This window comes from Homo sapiens, chromosome X, assembly GCF_000001405.40.
Source record: "Homo sapiens chromosome X, GRCh38.p14 Primary Assembly".
Lineage (NCBI taxonomy): Eukaryota > Metazoa > Chordata > Mammalia > Primates > Hominidae > Homo > Homo sapiens.
Genome location: NC_000023.11, coordinates 99,931,395 through 99,941,635, shown reverse-complemented (window position 1 = coordinate 99,941,635; position 10,241 = coordinate 99,931,395). Strand labels below are relative to the sequence as shown.

At 38.8% G+C, this 10,241-nt stretch overlaps 1 annotated feature.

Moving 5' to 3' along the window:
• Window positions 1,389–2,003: an enhancer, noted in NCBI's record as "H3K4me1 hESC enhancer chrX:99194631-99195245 (GRCh37/hg19 assembly coordinates)". NCBI's record gives its function as "activates a minimal SCP1, AML or CMV promoter by ChIP-STARR-seq in primed H9 embryonic stem cells {active_cell/tissue: H9 hESC(primed)}" and the evidence as "EXISTENCE:reporter gene assay evidence [ECO:0000049][PMID:30033119]".

The following is a 10,241-nucleotide window of genomic DNA, read 5'->3' as shown; positions in this document are numbered from 1 at the left end:
CCTCCGCCTCCCGGGTTCAAGCGATTTTCCTGCCTCAGCCTCCCAAGTAGCTGGGATTACAGGCGCCTGCCACTGCGCCCGGCTAATTTTTATATTTTTAGTAGAGATGGGGTTTCTCCATGTTGGCCAGGCTGGTCTCAAACTCTAGACCTCATGTGCCTATCTTTTTGATGTAAGTACTTAAAGAAAACACAATGTTATTAAAGAGGGATAAACTTTAAGCCATTAGTGCTTAAACTTGGATGAGTTCATTAGAGAAACTATTCGCTTAGGTTCTCAAAGGCATGATATTTATGAAAAGCATGTTTTGATAGAGGTGAGAAACAAGAGTCAACACTAAAATACTGGGAATCCTAAGTAGGATGCTTTGTGGTGGAATATAAGAGTACTGGTGTTTTGGGAAGTGAAGATTAGTACCTAAAGCAAAAGGTGTGTAATACGAGGTGGTAGGGCTTCTTGAAACAAGTTATCATCATTCTACACTGGTACAAGGGGCCAGTACTATAAACTGAGAGACTCTTGACCATGTGTATGTAGCTAAAAGGATTTTACTGATGAAACAAATTTCAACCAGTCTAGATACATATTTCACCCTTATTCTCTGATTCCTCCATTTCCCTAAAAATTGCTCTGTTGAAACATGTCTTAGGGTTCTTTGTGCTGCTATAACAAAATATCACAGACCGAGTAATTGACAATGAACAGAAATTTATTGGCTCATAGTTCTGAAGGCTGGGAAGTCCATGATTGGAGGCTCACATCTCATGAAAGCTTTCGTGAGGGCAAAAGAAAGCAAGAGAGGGCCAAATTCACTCTTTAATAATGGCATAAATTCCACCCATGAGGGCAGAGACCTGGTGGTCTAATCACCTCTTAAAAATCCCACCTCTTAGTACTGTTACAACGTACATTACTTAGTATGTTACAACTCACATTTCAACATGAATTTCGGAGCGGACAAATATTCAATCCATAGCAAAACATATCTTTATTTATTTTTTATTTTTATTATACTTCAAGTTTTAGGGTACATGTGCACAACGTGCAGGTTAGTTACATATGTATACATGTGCCATGTTGGTGTGCTGCACCCATTAACTTGTCATTTAACATTAGGTTTACCTCCTAATGCTATCCCTCTCCCCTTGTGGAAGTCAGTGTGGCGATTCCTCAGGGATCTTGAACCAGAAATACCATTTGACCCAGCAATCCCATTACTGGGTATATACCCAAACGATTATAAATCATGCTGCTATAAAGACACATGCACACGTATGTTTATTGCAGCAGTGTTCACAATAGCAAAAACATATTTTTTAAGGGAAAAATGTGTGCTCTACGTCCTATAAAAGAGGCAGAAACTTTGAGCAATCTAGGTTTTTTTTTTTCTTTCTTCCTCTCCTGAATACACTCCCCAAAACACCCCTTTCCAGTTACAATTAGCATCGTGATCCAAGCAGATGCTACATGAAAGAGGAATCGCCATTTACTCAGAAAAAAATGTCCCTTACAGGAACCGGCAGCAGCTAGGCAAAGTCGCCCGCCGGCCTCCATCCAAAATCACGCTCGCGTGCTTCGGAAGCATCCGAGTCACTCCTTTCCCACTTTTTCTTGCAGATCGGCCTGGGCCGGTGTGGGTTCTGTTTCTCCCCTTGGCTGCCTGTAAGCCCACAGCCTTCTGGCTGCAACATTATAGAATTGGCCGTGTCCCGCCTGGTGGGGGATTGGGGATCTGTGTTTAGCCATTTATATCTACTTTAGCTGTTAAAGAAGTCCAAATGAAAATCAGGTGATGGTGGAACCATGGGGACTTGGGGGTGGGGCAGAGGTGGGAACATTTGTATCAGTTAAGTCAGCTTCGTGGCTCCCTGTGGAGCCAGGGCTGAGCCTTGTGACGCGCACTCGCCAATTAGAGATTGATCAGCCAGCAGTCAAATGCATTCTCCAGTCCTTGCAAGAAGGATCAGCCTTTTCTGTGCCAGCCTCGATCGCCTTGTGCTTTGGTCTCTTTTTCTCCCCTGCTTGGATCCTGCCTCGCGCGGGCCGTCCTGTTGCTGAGACTCGGGGTACCGTTCTGCTGACCCAGCTCCCTTTAGTCACGTTTGCTTGGCTCTGGTACCAAATAGTTGGGATTACCGAAGAGTCCCCTTCCTCGCGTGTCAGCACAGATGCTGTGACTGCCACCCGCGTCCCCGTCAAGTGCCTGTGCCCGAGCTCGCCGCCGCCGTGTGTGCTGCGCTGATTGAGTTATGAGGTGCCTTTCCCGGAACCCTCCTCTCGCCCGGACCCAAGAGAGGCGACAGCTGTGGCTGGGGCTCTTGGTTTCCAGAGGGTCTGGACTGGTTTGGGTGCTTTAAAATAGATATTTAGTTCAGTGGTGCTTATGGGGGAGATGGGACTAGAACTTAAGTGTGAGACTTGGGTGGATGGGAAAGTTAATTATTGGTCTCTTCAAGTTTTTTTTTTTTTCTTTTGCTATTGTTACCACTTGTCACTGTCTCCATGTTAAAATGCCAAAAATGATCTAGTTGTTGTTGCTTTTTTCCCTATTTTCCACCCCAGTCGCTCCTTACCGTGACTCCTGCCCTTGGAGGGCATGTAGCAGTATCTGTCCTGCCAGTCCCAAGGCCCTGTGGGAGGAGACTGGCCTGCATCTCTCTAAGACTTAGTCTGACGCCACGCACATCTCTTGTTCTGTGTTCAATCAGTAGTCCAGGGGAGAAGCTTCTGCTACTTCAGAGCTTTGCTAAACTAACCTAATTTGTCCAAATCACCCCATAACCACCATCTCTGACTCAAGCTTCCATGTGACAGCCTGATCCATTTCCCTGGAGAAGTCTCTTTCCTGGAATGCAGCCCAGACACCTGTGCTCCTGGCACCCTTGAGGTCTCTCCTTTGAGTCGTGGTCACCGAGAGGGTTGAGGACGCACCACCCGAGGTCCCAGCCTTTGCAGGAGCCGCCCTGGGCGGAGCTGGACTCGGATCTTCGGTGGCCTCATGTAAATCCGGCAGCCAGCCTCTTCTAGAACCCTAGCCCAGGGACTGGAGCAGGAAAAGGACCTTCAAAGTGAAGACTGCCTTGTCCCGCACCTCCTTCTGGCTTAGATTGAAAAATGGGCTTCCTAATAGGTTAAATCCTTTAAAACAAGGAGTTGTGGGGGAAGGGTGTCACGCACTCCTAGAGAAAGGTACACAGTTGTCCGGCTGGGAACGTGCTTGGCGCGACCCTGCGGGCATCTGACTGGTCTTCCAGCTCAGGAAAAAGAATTTGAAAGAGGCTTAGTGTGAAGGGGAATCAAAGAGGAGGTTGTGATTTGGTCGAAGGTGCCTGGTTTAGTGCTGTAATTGTCTTATTTTTTTATATATATATTTCTTGGAGTAAACATTTTAAATAAACGACATCATTGTCTACTGAAAAAAAAAGAAAATTAGAAGCACTGACCTTTCCTGCACAGTCAGAAATCCAAATATGACTTTTGACTTCCCAAAATATTAACTACTAATAGCCTATTGTTGACCAATAACCTTACTGATAACATAGACAGTCGATTGACACACATTTTGTGTGTTATATGTATTATATACTGTTTTATTACAAAAAAGGAAGCTAGGGGAAAGAAAATGTTATTAAGGAAATCATAAAGAAAATATATTTACTGTTAATTAAGTGGAAGTAGATTATCATAAAGATCTTCATCCTCCTCATCTTGAGTAGGCTGAGGAGGAGGAGGAAGAGAAGAACTTTGTCTTACTGTCTCAGGGGTGACAGATGCAGAAATCAATGTATGAGTGGACCCCTGAAGTTCAAGCTCATGTTGTTCAAAGGTCAACTGTACTTTAAATACATAAGTGTGTATATATGGTTCATGTCAAAACCATTGTCTTTGAAACTGAACTTACATGACTGCTTATATCATAAATAATACAATTATGTTTTTCAAATCACTGGAAATTTTTACTATACTAAAGATGTCCTTTAGTTTGAATCACTTATTTTTTATTTAGGTATGAAGACTTTGAGAATGTGACTACATCTGACTGTATTCTCTAAATAGCCACATATGTGTATATGTAGGGATATTGAAATTGAAACCATGAAAACTCATAAGTAGCAACTATGAATATACACAAATATTTTACCATTATTTTACAGACAGAACGAGCCAAAGATGGCCTCTGTATATTGGCCCCTATGTTATTTCTTCACTGAAGGATAAAACCCATTAGCTCATAAGCCCACCAACACCAAATTCAAATTTTTATACATCCAACTATTTTAAAAATTATCTCCAAAAGCAGATTTTTAGCAATTTGGAGCCCACCTTATTTGCATACCCTATGAAACCTTACCCCACATGTGCTCACCAGTGATAAGATAGAGCCTTCTGGTTATAAAACTCCAAGCTGCGGTGGGTCCTTAGGAGTCTCTGACCCAGTAACTCCCCACCATGTTTCTGAGTAATATAACCTAAACACATAAGCCCACTCCCTGATCCCCTTCTCCCCTGGGAGTTCCTTGTTCTTCTCCCCTTCTGATGAGACAGCCCCCTTCACCACAGTCTGTAGAGAGACTCCTGCTGTGAGGGAGTTCCTCCCTCTTGCAGCCCTGTGTAAATGTCACCCAATGTTTGTTTTACTGTACCTGTGGTCATATCGTACTCTTTGATCAGTCCCCAATCATTTGAAATTATGACAGGACACAAAGATAAACAATCAAGTATAGACACAGACAATTAAACTTGTAAAACATCAACTGCAAATCTAATTGAATATATTATATATGAAGATGCACATGAATGAAAAGTATTATGCTCAAATAGTGAATAGTATGACAAAGTTTTATGAAACTGTATATTTGTAGAAATATCTGTATAGTTTGCAATATACAATCAAATATACTATGTTCTGCGTGTTTTGAAGCAATGGCTAACAGCAGACTTTAAAAATTTATTCTGATCACTTGTGTCTTTGTTTTGCACCCTTCCTTTTTTAAAAAATTAATTCAATAGCTTTTAGGGAACAGGTGGTTTTTGGTTACGTGGAGTTCTTTCGTGGTGATTTCTGAGATTTTGGTGATGCCATCAACCAAGCAGTGGACACTGTGCCCAAGGTATAGGCTTTTGTCCCTTACCCCACTCCCATCCTTGTCCCTGAGTCCCCAAAGTCCATTGTATCATTCTTATGCCTTTGCATCCTCATAGTTTAGTTCTCACTTATAAGTGAGAACATAAGATATTTGGCTTTCCATTCCTGAGTTACTTCACTTAGAATAATTGTCTCCAACTCCATCCAAGTAGCTACAAATGGACTACCAAACTGGCACTACAAGAAATGCTAAAAAGACTTCTAAATCTGTAAGCAAAACCTCAAAATACACCAAAATAGAAGCTCCTTAAAGCATAAAACTCACAGGGCCTATAAAACAATAACACAATGAAAAAAAAAAACCAAGGTATTTAGGCAACAACTAACATGATGAATAGAACAGTGCCTCACATCTCAATACTAACGTTGAATGTATATGACCTAAGCACCCCATTTTAAAGACACAGACTGGCAGAATGGATAAAAGTCCACCAAGAAAGTATCTGCTAACTTCTGGAGACCCACCTAACACATAAGGACTCACATAAACTTAAGGTAAAGGAGTGGAAAAAGATATTCCACCCAAATGAAAACCAAAAGCATGCAGGAGTAGCTATTCTTATATTCGAAAAAAAAAAATAGACTTTAAAGCAACAACAGTAAAAAAGGACAAAGACAGACATTGTATAATGATAAAAGGATTAGCCCAACAGGAAAATATAACCATCCTAAAAATATATGCACCTAACTCGGGAGCTCCCAAATTCATTAAACAATTACTTCTAGACCTAAGAAATGAGATAGACAGCAACATAATAATAGTGGGAGACTCCAATAGTCCACTGACAGCACTAGACAGGTAGTCAAGACAGAAAGTCAACAAAGAAACAATGGGCTTAAACTATACCCTAGAACAAATGGACTTAACAGATATTTATAGAACATTCTACCCAACAAGTGCAGAATATACATTCTTTTCACCAGCACACGGAACATCCTCCAAGATATACAATACGATAGGCCACAAAACAAGTCTTAATATATTTAAGAAAATCAAAATTATATCAAGTATCATTTCAGACCACAATGGAATAAAACTGGAAACTATATCAAGTGTTAATTTTATTCCACGGTAGAATAAAACTGGAAATTAACTCCAAAAGAAACCCTCAAAACTATACAAATACATGGAAATAAAATAACCTGTTCTTGAATGATTTTTGGGTTACAAATGAAATCAAGATGGAAATCTAAAAAAATTCTTTGAGCTGAACAATAATATTAGCACAACCTATCAAAACCTCTGGGATACAGCAAAAATGGTATCAAGAGGAAAGTTCACAGGATTAAATGCCTAAATCAAAGTGTCCGAAAGAGCACAAATAGACAACCTAATGTCACACATCAAGGAACTAGAGAAACAAGAACAAACCAAACTCAAACCCAGAAGAAGAAAATAAATAACAAAGATCAGAGCAGAATTAAATGGAATTGAAACGAACAAACAAACAAAAACAATACAAAAGGTAAAGAAAACAAAAAGCTAGTTCTTTGAAAAGGTAAACAAAATTGATACACCATTAGCAAGATTATCCAAGAAAAGAAGAGAGAAGATTCAAATAAACTCAATTACATTTATTTGTAATTAACAGAAATTATTAAAATTTATACCACAGAAATACAAAGGATCATTCAAGGCTCCTATGAACACTTTTACATGCACAAACTAGAAAATCTAGAAGTCTAGAAGAGGTGGATAAATTTCTGGAAATATACAACTCTGCTAGATTAAATCGGGAAGAAATAGAGACTTTCTATATTTCTTTTTAATTTGGATATAAAAATGACAGAAGCATAAGTTGATTTTTGACAGAAATTTAGTTATGAGCAAGAGTTTTTTATAATGTAAGATAATCCTTGTAATTTGTGTGCTTAGCTTGTGATATATTAAACGTCTAAGTTTGTCAAATAGAGCACCTGAACTTTACTTATAAAAGAAAACGCTTTATTTCTAGTCATAAATATTCTTTCATTTATGAAATTCTGTTTTGTTCATTTATTCACTTACTCATTTGATAATCAATGATGTAGTGGAGATAGCATGCATTTTGGAATTAGACTTGGGCTGAAATTATAGCTCCAAAGTGTACTAATTGTGAAAATTGGACAAATTAGTTAACATTGTTGAACCTCATTTACCTTAATCTCCTATTACTTAATTATTTTATATAAGCACATATTTATGCTTATATACTCAAGCATTTGTTGAGTACCTGATATGTGCATATATTGGACAAACTAAAACCTCCCAGTTTAAGCAGTCCCAAAGCCTACCAAATGAGTTGTTTCAAAAGTTCTTATTAACTAGTAATCAGGTAATATGATGGAACCTCTTCTGGGTTTAATGGGGCACGGTATCCCCAGTTTGTATTGCTCCTGTCATGTATTTGACAGTTGTCTTCTTTTTGCCTTCTTTGAAAGGGGGAACTATCAAAACACTAGTTTAGACTGTCACAATGCAGAAGCTTAACAGTCACATGAAAGATAATCATTATGGAAAAGAATCAAGACAAGTAAGGAAAAGAGCATTTAAATGACTGACTAAACAGAAGTGAACTTTCTGAAGAATGTAAGATAGAGCCATGGCAATTCCAACTGCAAGAAATTCTGGTTTTTACTTGTTTCTATTCTGGCTTACTCACTCTATTATTACTCTCAAGAAAGAAAATGATTTAATATAGACGCTTATAGTCACAAACTCTTTTTAACCAAAAGAAAAGAGTTCTTTTTCTTATTGATTCAGAAGCAAAATAAGCTCTTAAGAATTCATTTTTTGATAATATTTGCCTTTGCTATGAAAACTCATAGGCTGTCTTATCTTTGTACAGAAAACATATTGAACAGTCATAATTTTATGCCCAAAAATCTGGAAACAATTTAAAGACCGATTCTTGATAATTTTGAAATTTCACCGTTTGATAGACAAATGCCTTTGCTCACTCTACTGGTGATTACTCTCAAGGATTTCCTGAAGTGAAGCCTGTTAAGTATTTCCAAGCCATAAGTTCAAGCTTTTAAATGATTGTATATATAGCTACTCTCTGATTACTCTTTGAGTTTATGTGAAGTCAGTGTAAGTTCAGTCCAAACCCTATTACACACTTCTCACTATTGCTAAATTAAACTCACAAGTGGCAATAATTGATCTCTTTATTGTTCATAGAGACCTTAATTTGCCTAGATATAGGTATCAGCTAGATATTCCAGGTTAAGAGTGGATGATGCTCTATTAGGTGGATGTAATCTGTACATTTAGGATTGTGCTTAATTAGTATTGAGTTGTTGGGGTTTCCCATCATACTTATAATTGGCCCCCAATACTTACAATTATCTAGAATGCTTTACATTATCTGACATTATCTGGTTCCCACTATATACCTGTTTAACCTCATACTCTGCCATTTTTCTCCTTGTAAAGCTCCTGCCATGTTGACTTTTCTGACCCTCAAACACATCCAACTTATTCTCTCCTAGGGATCCTTTCACTTTTCATTCTTCCTCCCTAGAAAACTATGCCCTCTGATCTAGGATAATGTTCTTTTCATCCAGATCACAGCTCAAGTATTATTGCCATAGAGATTCTTTGCCTGACCACTGAATCTAAACACATGTTTATCCAATACCATCTATCATTGGCAGTCACTCTCTATTGCTTATTTCTTCATATTAAGTACTTCTTCATAATGTCATGGTCAATGACTATCTGAAGGTAGTGCATGGATGGTAAAGGGATTTACCAAGACAGTAATGAGTTTAGAAAGGCAGATTTATTTAGAGGAAAGGAGGAGATACATTGCAAGGGAGCAAAAGGCAAGACAGAAGAAAGAAGGCTGTCTGCCAAGAGGCACGGGCTGGAGGGGAGTTTTATAAGGTGGTGCTGCTTAGGCTGAATGCTTGAAGACAGACTGCTTGGATGCAGGTGGGCTGTGAGCCAGGTGCTTGTAATAGGATGCTTGGGAGCTAGTGAGCCATTTGCGGTTGGCCTAATTTCTCATAACATTTACTCCCCTCTACCCTTGTTTCTGTTCCTGCCAGCTAAGCCCATTTTCCAATTTTCTGTTAACTTCTTAGGACTATACACATAGCACTTATCTCTATCTGGAATTGTATACTTTTTATTTGTCTCCCCTCACTAGAATATAAGTCCAGGGAAAGCGGGACCTTGTTGCCTTGTTCACAGGTATATCTTTAATAACTGGAATGACACCTTTATTAATTGAATGAATTAATAAATTTTGACAGTGACTTACATCTTGTCTCCTCAATTTCTTAGTTCAGAAGTAGATTAATGTATTTTGGATTAAGGAGTTGGGCCCCAGGAACAAGAACCCTCAAATCCGATATAAGAGAGAGGGCTCCAGGTGTATCCCAATCTTACCCTTCAAGAATCACAGGGGTGGGGAGGGTATCTAAAGCAACTTTGATGTAACTCTCATAATTCTAAATTCCATTAATGTTCTCCTTTCCACCAATATTAGAGAATTCAGATATGATGTTCTTTGATATGGAATTTAAAAGTAGGTCTTCTCAGAGCTTCTATCATATCATTTTCTTTTCCAGTCCATTCTTCACACTAGACAGAAAGATCGTTTTTCAAAAAATGTAAATGCAATAACATTCACATGACTAATTCCCTTCAGTGGATAACATCCAAAATCATCACCTTATTTTTAGAGTCTGCACAATCTGATTTTCCAACCTCCAGGCACTCTGATCTTTCTGTCCCTGGAACATGCCATGCCCTTTCTCGTAGTTTAGGCCTTCACATTTGCTATACATTCGGCTTGAAACACTCTTTCTTTCACCTTCTCTCCTTGCCCAACCCATTCTTCAAATCTCAGATAGATATTACTCTCTCAAAAAGGTTCCCTTTACCCTTCAGACTTGTTCAAAATCTAATGTATACTCCCATAGGCCCCATCACCTCCATCATTATGCTCAACATACTTCATGTTGATTACAGACTGGAGACAGCAAAGTATGTTTTGTTTACTGTTGAATCCTTAACATAGTGCCTGGCACAGAATAGGTGCTCAATAATTATAATACTAATTAGCTTTAGAAAATTGACACAGACCTTTCTTATTTCTTCTAC